Below are 17,824 nucleotides of genomic sequence, written 5' to 3'. Positions count from 1 at the left end.
ACCAGTATCCACTGTCACAAAACTAATTTGGACTATTTGAGCTTTCTGGTTAAGAGTTTTCATAAGCAGGGGCTTATCCTATATTTTATAGCAAATAGATACTATGTCTCCAATAAATACACAGATAAACCTGCATTGATTAGCATCTGTGATGATTATAGGATTATCAATGCTTTCAAATTCTAAAGAGCAGCTTAAGGATATAAATGAGAATACTCATTATTAAAGATGTGGCTCTAAAAAGCTGACAACAGCCCTCAATGGCAGGATAAATCTACTTTTTGCTTTCCTTGCATCTGTAAACAGAATGCAAATATTACAACCTGATCAGTATCATTCTTTTAAAATGTAGTAGGTTCAAAATCAACTAATTTGATAACTGGCAATGGAAATAAATCCACCAGAGCATGAGGGGTCTAGGGCAGCAGTCCCCAACCTTTTTGGCATCAGGGACTGGTTTTGTAGAAGACAATTTTCCCATGGATTGAGGGTGGGATAAATGGTTTCAGGATGAAACTGTACCACCTCATATTATCAGACATTAGATTCTCATAAGGAGTGCCCAAGCTAGATCCCTTGTATGTGCATTTCACAATAGGGTTTGCTTTCCTATGAGAATCTAATGCCGCGGATCTGACAGGGGGCAGAGCTCAGGTAGTAATGCTCGCTTGTCTACTGCTCACTTCCTGCTTTGTGTCCAGGTGCCTAACAGGCCATGGAGCAGTCCATGGCCTGGTGATTGGGAACCCCTGGTCTGGGATGAATGAGTGGAACTCTTGACCTTATCAGCCTCCTCAGTTCACAAACATATACCTGCAGGAGAAGTGGGGAAGGATTGCGAAGTAAAAGGAAAGTTTTAAACCACACTTTTATCACAATTTTATCAGCAACACATCTTATAATGCTACAAGTAACAGAATCGATAGATACTTGCAAACAAATCTACATGAATGATATCCTTCCTTGGCTCAAGACATTCCTATAAATTTTCTTTATACAGAAAAGTATTTTGATAAAAATTGACAAAAACTCTTAGACTGATATAGATGCCCCTTCTATTGCTCAAATAACATTGCATATTTTCCTTCTTATTAAATAACCTCACAATAAACAATATAAATGCCATATTTCTTATTAGATTTTAAGTTTCTAAAGAGGAGAGAACAGAACTTGGGTTTCGTATTCTCTGTGCCTGGTACATGTCTGACATATTGGAATTTCTTTAAGTGTTTTCATAATTAATTCCACACAATAATGATGTACTGTTCTTTGAATATGGAGATAATACTACCAGTACATTACTAGATTGATATGTGCTTATATTGAAAGATGTGCACCTTGTCTCTCTTACATTATTTTCTTCTGCTCTTTGGATTCAACTGCACACATTTTTAAGGTAATCAATTGGCTAATGAGGAGGCAATCTGTAGCCATAATGTAAGTCTAACTATTCAGTGCACACAATAGAAATCATCTGTTTCTTTAAAAAGAAATTAAAATTATAATGAATAGTGTAAATGAATTGGGAGGGAGACATTTATATTCATTCATTATGGTTTCCAAACTTTTTTTTATTCCAATGCACATTAAGATATATTTTATAAATTAGCCAGGCATGGTGGCACATGCCTGTGGTTCCAGCTACTTGGAAGCCTGAGTGAGGTCGGAGGATCACTTGGCCTCAGATAGTTGAGGCTCCAATGAGCTATGATCATGCCACCACACTCTAGCCTGGGCAACAGACTGAGACCCCATCTCAAAAAAATCAAACAAAAAGAAATATATATATATATGTGTATATATATACATATGTATATATATACATATATATATACACATATATATGTATATATATACATATGTATATATATACACATATATATGTATATATATACATATGTATATATATACACATATATATATACACACACACATACATAGATATCATACCCATTCCTTATATATGTGAATATGAAAAAGTGCACAAAGCAACACTAGTACATACCATGCACTCTGAAGTAATAAAAATGCTAGTCATCATCCACTAAATAAACTTTATGACTCCCTAGTGGTTTGTAACTCACAGTTTAAAAACCATTGTAAAAGTCTACTGTTTTACAATAACTCCAGCAGTCTACTGTTTTAATTTATTATTCTCCTTGAGATCTTTTAACAATTCTACATCCTATCACGTTCCAAACTCTGCTTTCTTCTTTTGCATAAAAATTCCAACATTATCTGCATTTTAAATGTCCACTTACTGCACCTGAGGATGTACAGATGACAATACCTTATCAGCTGACATAGTTGTGTCTCCCTAATTGTTTCTGAGTCTTCCCTCAATCAACAGGAAGTCAGATTGACCAGTGTTTGGCTCATGGTAGCATTTGGGGATTAGTTATCATGTCAACGAGCAGCAGAATGACAATATAGCATTGTGCTGGCAGAATCTATTGTTAGTGATTACCACAAAGGTGGAATTTAAAGAATGTCATGCCCTTTATTTTTAAAAGTTAATGAAACCATGTTGACAGAACTTGTAATGTAAAAATGCTGCGATTTGGAGAGACTATCAAATTTGTGACTTCCAGTTCTCATAAACACTTATTTTTGCCTGTAGCCTACTCATTGTTTTTCATAGGGCATTCAGTTTCACAATATACACTTGTATCATATTACTAGTGTAATATCAGTCTTCTATTATAAATTTTTTTTTTACCTAAAATCTCTTTTGTGTTTTCTGTCTTAATATAATGCCATGTTTTACTACTGTAACTCAGGGGTTATATGAAAATAAAGAAAATTCATTGTATTATACATTTGAGGCTACTATAGTGACTTAACATCTAATGTAAAAAAATGCCAGTCAACAATGTGTAGAAGCAAACTGAGATGAAGTATTTTCCCAGCTTCAGTAAATTTACCAAGTCTAACATCTTAAACAATATCAAAGTTTTAGCATCCTGATAAGCCAGATTATCCAAGTGAATTAATTGTCTGATAATCCTTAAAATTCTGATTTTTTTTGAAGTAGTAAAAATAAAGTTTTCTAAATCTTGAATATCGGAGATAAACCTATGAAACTAAATTGAATGTGCATAAATTATTTTATAAAATTTGGTTTTAGTCTAACATTTGTATTAATCAGATTTTGGCAAACCCTGCCATTGTGAAGCTTAAAAGTCTTGTCAAATACAAATTGTGAGACTTCCACATTGCACCTAAAATTTTCTTTTAGACATAAAATTATAGTAAGTCGAGGCTCATTTTCAACACCTGATAAAATTCCATGCCTGATACTAATGTAATTTTAGTGTTGTTTTCCCAAATAATTTTGTATTTATTTTTCTTCTATTTATAGCAATGGTTTTCAAATGAGGGTGATTTTGGCTCCTCCACATGTATTTAGTGATGTCTTAAAACATTTTTGATGGCCATAACTCAAGAGTTGGGATGTATAATATGCTGCTGGTATCTAGTAGGTAGAGGCCAGTGATGCTACTAAACATGCTACAATGTACAAGATACATAACGCAACAAAGAATAACCTCATCCAATGATGTAATTTGAATGCTTGTCCCCTCCAAATATCATGTTGAAATGTGATTCCCAGCGTTGGTAGTGAGGTCTGGTGGGAGGTGATTGGATCCTGGGGGAAAATCCTTCATGAATAGCAGGAGGTGATTGGATCCTGGGGGAAAATCCTTCAGGAATAGCAGGAGGTGATTGGATCATAGGGGCAAATCACACCAAGCAACAGTCCCTTGGTGATAAGTGAGTTCTTGCTTAGTTAGTTCACATGAGATTTGGTTGTTTAAAAGTCTGGGATGCTCCACCTCTCTCTCTCTTGCTACCACTATAATCCTATGATATGCCTGCTTCTCCTTTCCCTTCCACCATGACTGGAAGTTTCCTAAGGCTCTCACCAGAAGCAGGTGCCAGCACTATGCTTCTTGTACAGCCTGCAGAACCATGAGCCAATTAAATCTCTTTTCTTTATAAATTATCCAGCTTCAGTTATTTCTTTATAGCAATGCAAAAGTGGCCTAACACAGAAAATTGATACAGAGGAGTGGGGCATTGCTATAAGGGTATTTAAAAATGGGCAAAAGGCCTCGAAGGCATTTCAGAGACCTTTGGGACAGCCCCTCCCATCACAGGCCCAAAGGCGTAGGAGGACTGAATAGTTTCAGGGGCCAGCCCCAGGTCTCTGCTACCCTGTGCAGCCTTGGGACACTGCTCTTTGCATCCTGGCTGCTCTGGCTCCATCTTTGGCTCAAAAGCCTCCAGATCCTGCTCAAGTTGCCACTTTAGAGAGCATAAGCCACCATAATCCCTGGTGGCTTCCCTGTGGTGTAAAGTCAGCAGGTGCACGAAATGCAAGAGTAAAAGAGGCTTGGCAGCTTCCTCCTAGATTTCAGAGGATGTATAAGAAAGTCTGGGTGCCGAGGCAGAAGCTGCCACAGGAGTGAAGCCCTCACAGATAACTTCTATAGGGGCAGTACAGAGGGTAAATATCAGGTTGAAGCCACCCCTGCAAAGAGTCCCCACCAGGTCATTGTCTATTGGAGCTATAGGAAGGGGACTTCCACCCTCCATATCCCAGAAGGGTACAGCCACAGGGAGCTTGCATCATGAGCCTAGAAAAGCCACAGTCACTCTATCCTAACCCATGACAGCTGCCACAGGGGGTACACCCTGCAAAGCCACAGGGGTGGAGCTACTCAAGTGGGCTTGGGAGACCATTTCTTGCACTAGTGTGCACTGGATGTGGGATGTGGAGTCCAAGGAGACTATTTTGGATCTTTAAGGTTTAATGTCTGCCCTGATGAATTTTGGACTGATGTGGGGCCTGTAGCTCTGTTCTTTTGGCCAATTTGTCCCTTTTGGAATGGTCATGTTTACCCAATGCTTATACCACCATTGTATCTTGGGTGTAAATAACTTGTTTTGATTTTACAGTCTGATAGGTGGAAGAAGACAACTCTCAGATAAGACTTAAGACTTTGGACTTGACACTGGAATGAGGTAAGACTTTGGGGGACTATTGGGAGGGGAGGATTATATTTTGCAATGTGAGGACATAAGATTTAGGGGGCCAGCAGCAGAATAATACAGTTTGGATGCTTGTTCCTTCCAAGTCTAATGTTGATATGTGGTTCCCAGTGTCGGAGGTGGAGCCTGGTAGGAGGTGACTGGATCATGGGGGTGGATCCCTCATGAATGGTTGAGCATCATCCTCTTCGTGATAAGTGAGTTATTGCTCCGTTACTTCATACATGATCTAGTTGTTTAAAAGTCTGGGACCTCTCCCACCCTCTCTTGTTTCTGCTCTTGCCATGTGATATGCCTGCTCCTTCTTTGCCTTCTGCCATAATTGGAAGCTTTCTGAGGGCCACAGCAGTAGCAGATGCCAGCATTATGCTCCCTGATGAACCTGCAGAATTGTGAGCCAATTAAATCTCTTTTCTATATAAATTACACAGCTTCAGGTAGTTCTTGATAGTAACATAAAAATGGTCTAGCACACCTGAAATGTCAACAGTGCAGAGATTAAAAATCCCTTATTTTTATGTATAGCTGTAACATTGCTAAGATTACAAAAAATAGTAAAAGGCCTAGGCTTATAAAACAAGCCTATGAATAGATTAATTTAGAAATGTTTATGAAATTATTAAAATTATAATTTGATAAACACTGGTACATCTAGAAGGAAATTCAGCCTCTAAATTAAATAATATATCATGATATGGATGAGAGTGTTTTAATTCTTAAGTACTGTGCAGTAATCACAACAGCAGAAATTACTTATAAAATCATAGGTTGAACCATATGAAACTGTCATTTTTGTAGGCTAAAAATGTTCAAATATTGGCAGTATTATGTGCTTGAATAATACAAAGTTAATTTTATTAATTTCTTAACTGTTTCATTTTTATTTTCTTGAATAGTAACATTTTAAAAAGCAAAACTTTAACAAAATAAAATAATATAGATTGACGAAGGGGACAAAGCAATGAACAAACAGCTAAAATTTCATTGGAGTGTCAAAGGGAATGCACTGAAATAGTGAGGCACCCATGGTGACTGGAAGCCCAGGAGGGCAGCAGGGAGGCACCTGACCTCTGCAGCCTCATCTCCTCTACACACATTGGATTGACCTGGAGACAGGAGGGACTTCCCCCTGTAGGGAAAAGGTAAATGGAAGAACACTAGCAGCCCCCATTGCCATCACAAATAAGGATAATTCATATTACAGAGAATCCCATAGTCATTGCAAGCCCAGAGCTCAGTTTGAAGAGCTGCCATGAATTCACATGGCTGCATTGCTCTAGATTAGGAACACAACATGCGCACTCCCTCACCCCCACCCAGGCTTTGTAAGCCAAGCTGTTGCATCATGGCACCATCTTGAGACCAGAGCCACATCTGGAGTATGCCCTCCTCTAGGTGCCAGTAGGCACTACACTTTTATCCAGCAGTGGGGCTCCATCTTCATTACACCAAGCCCACATGGGTGGCTGAATGCCATAACCCAAGCTGTGAAGAGCCTAGGCCCAGGATTAGCTATGACTCTGGCCCTGGACGGTAGGAAAACCAACTCCTGCCACCCACACTTCTAGCTGGAGGAACAGTCTGGCAGTCCCACCCAGGAAGAACCTGCCCTTGAGACAGCCAAAATGCTGTGGCCCTTCCCCAAATGGGAGAGGTCTCCTTGTGCCACAGAACAGCTGACATGCTCTTAGGCAAGGAGAGCCACTACATACTCACGCCCAGGTCCTGAGAAACAGTTCCTTTGTACCCACTTTCTTGCATAAATGACTCTGTCCTGCCCAAAAGCCCCATGCCCATATTCATAAGGGCCTAGGAAACAGCCCGTGGGCTGCCCCAGGCAGGTACAGGATATGGTCTGGATGTTTTGTACACTCCAAATCATATGTTGAAATGTGACCTCCAATGTTGGAGGTGGGGTCTAGTGAGAGGTGTTTGGGCCATGGAGGTTGATGTCTCATAAATGGCTTGGTGATGTCTTCATGGTAATGAGTTAGGTCTCACTCTATGAGTTTACATGAGATCTGATTGTTTAAAAGAACCTGATACCTCCTCCCCTCTATCTCTTTATCCCTCTCTCATCATATAAAATGCTTGCTCCCCCTTTACTTTCCAGCATGAGTAAAAATTTCCTGAGGCCTCACTAAAAGCTAAGCAGGTGCTAGTGCCATACTTGTACAGGTAGAAGAGCTGTGAGCCAAATCACACTACCTGACTTCAAACTATACTACAAGGCTACAGTAACCAAAACAGCATGGTACTGGTACCAAAACAGAGATATAGATCAATGGAACAGAACAGAGCCCTCAGAAATAATGCCGCATATCTACAACTATCTGATCTTTGACAAACCTGAGAAAAACAAGCAATGGGGAAAGGATTCCCTATTTAATAAATGGTGCTGGGAAAACTGGCTAGCCATATGGAGAAAGCTGAAACTGGATCCCTTCCTTACACCTTATACAAAAATTAATTCAAGATGGATTAAAGATTTAAACGTTAGACCTACAACCATAAAAACCCTAGAAGAAAACCTAGGCATTACCATTCAGGACATAGGCGTGGGCAAGGACTTCATGTCCAAAACACCAAAAGCAATGGCAACAAAAGCCAAAATTGACAAATGGGATCTAATTAAACTAAAGAGCTTCTGCACAGCAAAAGAAACTACCATCAGAGTGAACAGGCAACCTACAAAATGGGAGAAAATTTTCGCAACCTACTCATCTGACAAAGGGCTAATATCCAGAATCTACAGTGAACTCAAACAAATTTACAAGAAAAAAACAAACAACCCCATCAAAAAGTGGGCGAAGGACATGAACAGACACTTCTCAAAAGAAGACATTTATGCAGCCAAAAAACACATGAAAAAATGCTCATCATCACTGGCCATCAGAGAAATGCAAATCAAAACCACTATGAGATATCATCTCACACCAGTTAGAATGGCAATCATTAAAAAGTCAGGAAACAACAGGTGCTGGAGAGGATGTGGAGAAATAGGAACACTTTTACACTGTTGGTGGGACTGTAAACTAGTTCAACCATTGTGGAAGTCAGTGTGGCGATTCCTCAGGGATCTAGAACTAGAAATACCATTTGACCCAGCCATCCCATTACTGGGTATATACCCAAATGACTATAAATCATGCTGCTATAAAGACACATGCACACGTATGTTTATTGCGGCATTATTCACAATAGCAAAGACTTGGAACCAACCCAAATGTCCAACAATGATAGACTGGATTAAGAAAATGTGGCACATATACACCATGGAATACTATGCAGCCATAAAAGATGATGAGTTCATGTCCTTTGTAGGGACATGGATGAAATTGGAAACCATCATTCTCAGTAAACTATCGCAAGAACAAAAAACCAAACACCGCATATTCTCACTCATAGGTGGGAATTGAACAATGAGATCACATGGACACAGGAAGGGGAATATCACACTCTGGGGACTGTGGTGGGGTCGGGGGAGGGGGGAGGGATAGCTTTGGGAGATATACCTAATGCTAGATGACACATTAGTGGGTGCAGTGCACCAGCATGGCACATGTATACATATGTAACTAACCTGCACAATGTGCACATGTACCCTAAAACTTAAAGTATAATTAAAAAAAAAAAAAAAAAAAAAAAAAGAAGAGCTGTGAGCCAAATAAACCTCTTTTCATTATAAATTACCCAGTCTCAAGTATTCCTTCACAGCAACACAAAACAGATTAATGCAGCTTGACCTCAAACTGACTGAGCAGCTGTGTTCTCATGTCCCAGGCCACCCCCAGGAGACATGTACCTAAGTTAGCTAAGAAGCCATGTGCCCATGTTCTAGGCCTGAAAAACAGACCCATGGGCTGCCACTTATAGACACATTCCTGGACTGAACCAAGAGCTGTGAAACCCCATTCTGGTCCTGAGAAATGGCCCTGAGGGCTGTCACTAGCAGACAAGCCCCCAGGTTGGACAAGCAACTGTGCACCCACATCCCAAGTCTGAAAAATAGCCTTATTGGCTGCCCCTGATAGACACACACCCAGGCTGGCCAAACAGCCTTACACCCAAATCATGGACCTGAGAAAAAGCCTGGGAAAACACCTCCAACAGACATACACTCAGGCCAGCTGAGAAGCCAGGCAGCCATGTACCAGGACTAAGAAACAGCCCCATGGGCCACACCTGGCTGGCATGCCCCCAGCCTGGGCAGGAAATTGTGCACCCATGCCCCCAGCCAGAGTAACAGCCCCATGGTCCAAATCCCTGTGAGCCGGACCTCAAATTGGCCAACTCACCGTGCGCATGTACATGCTCCTAACCTGAGAAACAGCCTGACAAGCCGATGTCTGGCAAAGTTACACCACCAACAACACAAATCCTCAGCCTAGGCCACTAAGATACTAGCGAACATCACTAGCATGGATTACAGCTGAAGAAACTACACGGAGACTACACTGCTGCACTAAACTACAATAAAAGTCAACACACTCCTATAAACCAACATCCTAAGACCCACATACATCAGTAAAATCTTTCCCTATCCAACCTATACAATAAAATTGGAAGAGATAACTGTTCCACCAGATGAATGGAAATCAACACTGGGACACATCAAACACATGAAAAACAAGACAACACTACACGTCCAAATGAACGTTCAAAATGTCCAAAGAAAAATCCAAAGTAATAATTCTAAGTAAATTCAGTGAGATATAAGAGATTACAGATAGACAATTTAAACAAATCCGGGAAACAATTCATGATTTGAATGAGAAATTCAACAAAGAGACAGATATTAAGAATCAAATAGATTTTAGAGCTCAAGAATTTAATTAATAAATTTAAAAACACAGTTGAGAACTTCAACAACAGACTAACCAAACAAAAGAAAGAATTTCTGATCTTGGAGACAGCTCTTTTGAATAACGCAGGCAGACAAAGAGAGGAAAAAAAGATAAAATAATAAAAAGTAATGAAGAAAGCCTAAACGATTTATGAGGGACCATTAAGCTAACAACTATTCATATTATGGGTATTTCAGAAAGGAAAGAGAAATCAAAAGGTACAGAAAATCTATTTAGGCTGGGCACGGTGGCTCACGCCTGTAATCCCAGCACTTTGGGATGCCAAAGCGGGCAGATCACGAAATCAGGAGTTTGAGACCAGCCTGGCCAACACAGTGAAAACCCATCTCTACTAAAAATACAAAAAATTAGCTAGGTGTGGTGGCAGTGCCTGTAATCCCAGCTACTTGGGAGGCTGAGGCAGGATAATTGCTTGAACCCAGGAGGTGCAGGTTGTAGTGAGCTGAGATTGAACCACTGCACTCCAGCCCAGGTGAGAGTGCAAGACTCTATCTCAAACAAAAACAACAGCAGCAACAACAACAAAGTGTATCTAATAAAATAATAGCTGAAAATCTCCCAAGCCCTGTGAGATAGACATCCAGATCTAGGAAGCTTGAAGATCCCCAAATATATTCAACCAAAACACATCCTCTCTGAGGCACGTTATAGCCAAACTGTCAAAAGCAAAAAACAAAGAATGAATTCTAAAAACAGCAAGAGAAAAGTGTCAAGTCACACATAAGGGAACCCCCATTAGAATAAAAGTGGATTTCTCAGCAGAAATCTGAAGACCATGAAAGAATGGGGTGATATAGTCAAAGTACCAAAAGTAGAAGAGGGGACCTGTCAGCTAATAATATTATGGCAAGCTAAACTATCCTTCAGTAATGAAGGAAAAATAAAATCTGTCATAAACAAGCAAAAGCTAAGGGAATTCATCACTAGTAGACTGGCCTTAGAAGAAATGCTCCCAGAAGTCACACATTTGAAAATGAAAAAATAATTAGAATCATGAAAACATGCAACACTATAAAAGTCACCAGCAGCGTTAATACAGAAAGGAAAAAGAAAAATGAATCAAATGTTATCACCACAGAGAACCACCCAACCACAAAAATAAACAAGGGAGGAAGAAAGGAACAAAGGATATACAAAACAACAAGAAAAAAATGAATCAAATGACAAGAATAAGTCTTCACCTGTCAATAATAACCTTGAGTTAAAATGGATTAAATTTCTCATTTGAAAAATATAGATTGGCTAAATGGATTAAAGAGAAAAAAAAAAACAACACCCAACCATATGCTGGCTACAAGATACTCACCTGAGCCGTAAAGACACACACAGACTGAAAAGGAAGGGATGGGAAAAGATACTTCACACAAATGGAAAACAAAAGCCAACAGGAGTAGCTATAGTTACATCAGACAAAACAAGATTTAAGTCATAAACTCCAAACAGAGACAAAGAAGGACATTATATAATAATAAAGGTATCAATTCAGGAAAATAATATAACTGTAAATCTATATGCATTTAATGCCAGAGCACCCAGATATATAGAGCAAATATTATTAGATCTAAAGGGAGAGATAAATCCCAGTAACTGGAAACTTCAACATCCATCCCACTGTCGGTGTTGAACAGATCAACTAGACAAAAAAAAAATCAACAAAGAAACATTAGATTTAAAGTACACCATCGAGCAAATGAACCTAACAGATATTACAGAGCATTTCAGCCAACAATTTCATAATACCTATTCTTTTCATCAGTATATGGAACATTCCCCAGGATAGATGATATGTTACAAAATTCTCAAAATATTAAAAAATTTTAAATTATATCAAGTATCTTATCTGACCACATGGAGTAAAATTATAAATCAATTAACAGGAGGAACATTTGAAACTATAAAAATGTGTACAAATTAAACCACATCCTACTGAATGACCAATGACTGAAGAAAGAAATGTAAAATGAAATTTAAAAATTTCTTAAAACATATGAAAATAGAAATGCAACATAACCAAACTTATGGACCTATGGGACACAGCAAAGCATTCTTAAGAAGCAAGTTGATGGCAAGAAATGCCTATATCAAAAAAACTAGAAATATTTCAAATAAACAATGTAATGATGCATCTCAAGGGACTAGAAAGGCAAGAACAAACCAAACCCCAAATTAGTAGAAGGGAAGAAATAGTAAATATCAGAGTAGTAATACATAACATTGAGACCAAAAAAAAAAAGCAATGCAAAACTCAATAAAACAAAAAGTTGTTTTTTTGAAAAGATATGCAAAATCAACACACCATTACCTAGACTAAGGAAAAAAAAAAGAACCAAATAAATGAAATAAGAAATGGTAAAAGAGACATCACAATAGAGACCACAGAAATACAAAGGATCATAAGGGGGTTTTTTATAAGCAACTATACACCAGTAAATTTGAAAACCTAGAGAAAATGGATAAATTCCTGGACACATAAAATCTATCAAGATTGAAAGCCCCAAAATTTCAAAAACTTTAACAGACCAATAACAAGTAATGAGATCAAATCAGTAATAAAAGTTTCCCAACAAAAGTATGGGACAAGAGGGCTTTATCACTGAATTCCACCAAACATTTAAAGATTTATTATCAATTATTCTCAAAATATTCCAAAAATGGAAGTGGAGAGAACTCTTCCTAACTCATTCTATGAAGTAAGCATAACCCTGATGTCAAAACCAGACAAGGACACAATCAAGAAATTAATCTACAGGCAAATATCCCTGATGAACATAGACATAAACATCTTCAATAAAAGTGTAGCAAACTGAATCCAACAATACATCAAAAATACACCATGATCAAATGGGATTTTTTTCCAGAAATGCAAGGATGGTTTAAAAGATGCAAATAAATAAATGTCATACATACCATCAACAGAATGAAGGATAAAAAACTTATGATTATCTCAGATGCAGAAAAAGCATGTGAGAAAATTCAACATCCCTTCATAATATAAACTCTCAATAAATTAGTTACAGAATGAACATACTTCAACACAATAAAGGCCATATATGACAGTCACCTAACATACTGAATGGGTAAAATCTGAAGCTTTTCCTTTAAGACCTGGAATAAGACAAGGATACTCAACCTCACCAATCTTTTTCAACGTAGTACTGGAAGTCCTAGCCAGAGCAATTAGGCAAGAGAAACAAATAAAGGGCATCCAAACTGGAAAGGAGGAAATCATACTGTCCCTGTTTACAGCCTTGCAGAGGGCATGATCTTATATAGAGAAAAACTACAGACTCCACAAAAACCCTTAACATTAATCAATGAATTCAGTAAAGTTGCAGGATACAAAATCAACATACAAAAATCAATAACATTTCTATACACATACGATAAACTAGCTGAGAAAGAAATAAAGAAGGCAATTCTATTTACAATAGCTACAATAAAATAAAATACCTGGAATAAATTCAACAAAGGAGGTGAAAGTCCTCTACAACGAAAACCCCAAAGCACTGATGAAAAAAACTGAGTAAGATACAAACTGAAAGACATCTTATACTCATGGATCAGAATTAATACTGTTAAAATGTTCATACTAGCCAAAGCAATCTATGGATTTAATGCAATCCCTATCAAAATATCAATAACCTTCTTCACAGAAAAATAAATAAAAATCTTAAAATTTGTATGGAACCATAAAAAATCTTGAGTAGCTAAAGCAATCCTGGTGGTGGGTGGTAGGGTGGACCTGAAGGCATCACACTGCCAGACTGCAAAATATACTACAAAGCTGTAGTAACCAAAACAGCATGAAACTGGCATAATAAAAGACACAGAAAAAAATAGACCAGACTAGAGAACTCAAAATTAATCCTCTTATCTATAGCCAACTGATTTTTCACAAAGGTGCCAAGACCACTCACTGGAGAAAGAACAGTCCCTTCAATAAATGGTGCTAGGAAAACTGGGTACCAATATGCAGAATGAAACTAGACTTCCACCTCTCACCCTACAAAAAAAAAAAAAAAAAAAAAGAGAAAAAGAAAAAACTCAAAATCGATCAAAGATCGAAATGTAAGACCCCAAACTGCAAAACTCAATAATAAAATATTGAGGAAATGCTTCAAGACATCAGCCTAGGAAAAGATTTTTTGAATAAGGCCTCAAAAACACAGGCAACAGAAGTGAAAATAAACAAATAAACTTATATCAGTCTGAAAGGCTTCTGCACAGTAAAGGAAATAATCAACAGAGTGAAAAGATAACTTAAAGAAGGAGAGAAAATATTTGCAAACTATTCATCCAATAGGGCATTACTATCCAAAATACACAAGGAACTCAAACATCTCAACAGCAAAAACCAAACAATGGGATTAAAAAATGGGCAAAGGATTTGAACTGATATTTTTCAACAGAAGACATACAAATGGCCAACAAATATATGAAGAAATGCTCAACATACCAATCATCAGGGAAGTGCAAATCAAAACCACAATGAGGTATCTTTTTACTCCAGTTAGAATAGCTTTTATCAAAAAGACAAAAAATAACAAATGGTTGTGAGGATACAGAGAAAACGGAACTCTTGTATACCGTCGGTGGGAATGTAAACTAGAATATCCACTATGGAGAACAGTATGAAGTTCCACGAAAAAAACTAAAAAGAAAATGACTATATGATCCAGCAATCCCACTACTGGGCATTTAACCAAAGAAAAGGAAATCAGTATATTGAAGAGACATCTGTCTCCCCATGTTTATTGCAGTACTATTCACAATAGCCAAGATATGGAATCAACCTGGGTGTTGATATGGATTCAAAAACAGATGAATGGATATAGAAAATGTGGTATATATACAAAATAGAATATTATTCAGTCATGAAAATGGAATTCTGTTGTTTGTGGCGATATAGATGGAACTGAAGGACATTATGTTAAGTGAAATAAGCCAGAAACAGAAAGTTGTACACTGCATGTTCTCACTCATATGTGGAGGCTGAAAACAAAATTGATCACATAGAATTAAAAAGTCAAACAAAGGAAACTAGGAGCTGGAAAAATTAGGAGAAAATGGCGGACAAGGAGAGTTGTTAAAGGACACAGAATTGCAGCTAGATAGGAGGAATATATTCTAATGTTCTATATCATTGTAGGATGACACAGTTAATGATAGTTTCAAATAGCTAAAGGGTGATATTGAATGTTCCCAACACAGAGAAATCATAAATGTTTGAGATGATGAATATGCTAATCGCCCTGATCAGATCACTATACATTATATGTATTGGAACATCATTATATACCCCGTACATATGAACAGTTATATATATCAATTAAAAATAAAGATGCATTGATATAACAATGTAGATAAAAATAAAATCATATAAAGCAGATATGTCTTGCCTTTGGTCATACTATTTTTGAACATTATCTAGGAATATATGTGCTTCATTATTTGGAAATACATGTCGCTGGGAATATGTGTGCTTCTTGGAGGAGGAAGCATTTTTACTTAATTTTTATGATTTCCTAGTGTGGCTTATGAATGAAATAAATAGCCAAAAACATGAGCAATAGAGACACAACCCATATAATGCAATTATTTTTAATGCTATAGTTTTATACTATCTCTTTGGTTTTTTAAAATTTGAAGTACGGTAATCACATCTTGATAAGTAATTAAATGCTTCTTTATAGTCCTTTTTTCTTAAATTCTCTCCCTGCTCCCCTCTATTCATTGGCATATAAAGTTATTGCTCTGATCACTCATGTCAGTGCAGAAGAGAATATTAATATTAATCAATGTGTATGTCAACAACTTCCTGAAGAAAGAAGCTGATATACTCTCCTAGCTGTTGCTGTCACTCAAAAAAGCATCATCTGCTATAAAGTTGTTACTTCTTCAATGGCCTTTTTTTTTTCTTTAAACTTAAGGGAACTTTTTGGAGCTCATGTGAAATGCAGAATTCTTATAAAGACTAAAGCATGTTCTTCATCATTAATTTAATTGTTTAAGTAATATCATAAAGTTAAGGGGCTTGAGAGGAAAAACCATGAGTCCTATTACAAGGAGTTTACCAAAAAATAAAAAATAAATTAAAAAAACCTGATTACTAGCATAGTGAGCAAGAGAACTAGATTTGGGAAAACAACTTCCTGAAAGATATTGTGACATTTTGAGAAGCCAATTTTACTAGCATCACAGGCATACTGGGCTGAACCAAATTTTCAGGGTCATTTCAACAAAAAACTTAGTAAAACTGATAAGTAATTAGTTAAAGACCCAATGACTCATACTTTTCCAGGTCCTTAAATTGAAAGCGGTCTTAAATTCATCATTTTAAGAAGCTGCCTTATCCTCTTTTCAAGGACTTGAGGATTGTTATTCTTCAGTATGCTCAATTAGTAATGTATCTAGGTTTTCTAAAATGTTTGTACAGTTTTTGAATATTAGAGCAGTAGCTTTTGTCTTTTATCTCTACATGTCTGATATACTAGGGAATAGGCTGGCTGCCTGAAGTAATTAATAGAGTTTATAAAGTTGACTAATGCTTGCAATTTATGCATTAGAGGAAAATGGTGTGATACATGTAAATGTCTCTGAGCACCAGTCATGCTTCACTTCTACATCTCATCTTCCTCAAATAGCAAGTTAAAGATCTAAATTCATATAGTATATTATGTTCATTGTATCAAAACAATTTATGCTACCATTTAAATCCATTATTTACAAATCACTTCTTTCTAAAAGGATTCATGGGGGAAATATTAGTATAACATTTTCTAGTTTCGAAGGTAGTCTATAATTTTCTAATGGCATTTTATTGAAAGATAGCAGGGCTTATTATCATATCTAAATGCCATATTCGAAAGAAAATTGTATAATGATAAAAATGAAAATGCTTTTTCTAAAGGCTTACTTAATTACTATGAATTATCAAAATGAGCTTCAAGCAATACTACACAATTTGATAAAAAATTTTTGAATAAAGCAAGCACCTTAACAGCAATATTTTATGAGGACATATAACTTAAGTAACCTTTGTTACAACATAGACTTATAAATTATTTCATGATCCTTAAGAGCCTATTTTCTGTTGACAGTGAGAGATATCCTCATTATAAATTTAGAAAATCAGCAAAGACAAAAATATTGTTTCTATAAAAGGGAGTTACGATTCCAAAAGAATGCCTTGTTAATGTGCACATTCTAAGCATCTTAGAAGCCTAAAGCCAAAAATTAGAAAGGATTTCAAGATTGCTATTTTTACAGTTTGGGAAACAGGGTCCAAGGAGCCAGGGTGCTTGTTCAAGTTCACATGAAGTTAGTGGCTGTGCAGTAACTAAGGCTCGCTCTCCAAACTCCCAGTTACTACTACTACTCACTATGTAAATATATGTGGCCTCCTCAGGGGGAGCCCTTCAGCACTTCTAGCCTTGCTCTCACTCACTAGGTTCAAACATTTTATCTCTAGAGTTGCTCAACCTTACTTGCAAAGCAGTTTTAGAATTATGCTGCATGCTATATTCACTCCAATAATAGAGACTGCCTTCACTTAAGAAGAAAAGGAATTGTAGATAGAGATAATTATTTTTTCAAATGAAACTACTGAGAACACAAAGGGATATAAAAGGTATTATTCTTTTCTGCTTTTAAAAAGTACTGTACTGTAAATAGGCTTTATATATCAAGCTATTGAAAAGAAACATGTATCGGGCTGTTCTCTGGGGGCTCTGGAGAGGCTAAGGTAATTGCCATACAGGACCAAAGTATCCACAGAATTTAAAGAGCTCCTGACGTTTTGAAAGTAATTTTCAATTGTCATTACTTAATACAGCAATGGTGGAAAGGAAGCATCTTTATTTCTTGGAAGAAGGAAACAGACTCAGCAATCAAGTAGCTTG

General features: G+C 37.1%; 1 protein-coding gene across 5 annotated transcripts in view, besides 3 other annotated features; it reads right to left on the bottom strand.

Moving 5' to 3' along the window:
- PRKG1 (protein kinase cGMP-dependent 1) overlaps positions 1 to 17,824 on the bottom strand; it is a 1,307,463-nt gene that overhangs the window by 108,226 nt on the left and 1,181,413 nt on the right. Inside the window, exon 10 of one of the 5 annotated variants that reach the window (XM_011539952.3) lies at positions 1,931 to 5,437. The exons of the other annotated variants lie outside the window; for them this stretch is intronic. Coding sequence (XP_011538254.1) covers positions 5,293 to 5,437 — 145 coding nt within the window. The 3' untranslated portion in view covers positions 1,931 to 5,292. Of the gene's footprint in view, positions 1 to 1,930; positions 5,438 to 17,824 lie in introns of those variants that run through there. 5 annotated transcript variants of the gene reach the window in all.
- Positions 4,281 to 4,486: a silencer, noted in NCBI's record as "fragment chr10:53945399-53945604 (GRCh37/hg19 assembly coordinates)". NCBI's record gives its function as "represses an EF-1alpha promoter that drives an FKBP-Casp9 reporter gene in an ReSE screen in K562 erythroleukemia cells {active_cell/tissue: K562}" and the evidence as "EXISTENCE:reporter gene assay evidence [ECO:0000049][PMID:32094911]".
- Positions 8,646 to 9,146: an enhancer, noted in NCBI's record as "H3K27ac hESC enhancer chr10:53940739-53941239 (GRCh37/hg19 assembly coordinates)". NCBI's record gives its function as "activates a minimal SCP1, AML or CMV promoter by ChIP-STARR-seq in primed H9 embryonic stem cells {active_cell/tissue: H9 hESC(primed)}" and the evidence as "EXISTENCE:reporter gene assay evidence [ECO:0000049][PMID:30033119]".
- Positions 9,147 to 9,647: an enhancer, noted in NCBI's record as "H3K27ac hESC enhancer chr10:53940238-53940738 (GRCh37/hg19 assembly coordinates)". NCBI's record gives its function as "activates a minimal SCP1, AML or CMV promoter by ChIP-STARR-seq in primed H9 embryonic stem cells {active_cell/tissue: H9 hESC(primed)}" and the evidence as "EXISTENCE:reporter gene assay evidence [ECO:0000049][PMID:30033119]".

This window comes from Homo sapiens, chromosome 10, assembly GCF_000001405.40.
Source record: "Homo sapiens chromosome 10, GRCh38.p14 Primary Assembly".
Taxonomy (NCBI): domain Eukaryota; kingdom Metazoa; phylum Chordata; class Mammalia; order Primates; family Hominidae; genus Homo; species Homo sapiens.
This window is presented reverse-complemented; position numbering and strand designations above follow the sequence as displayed.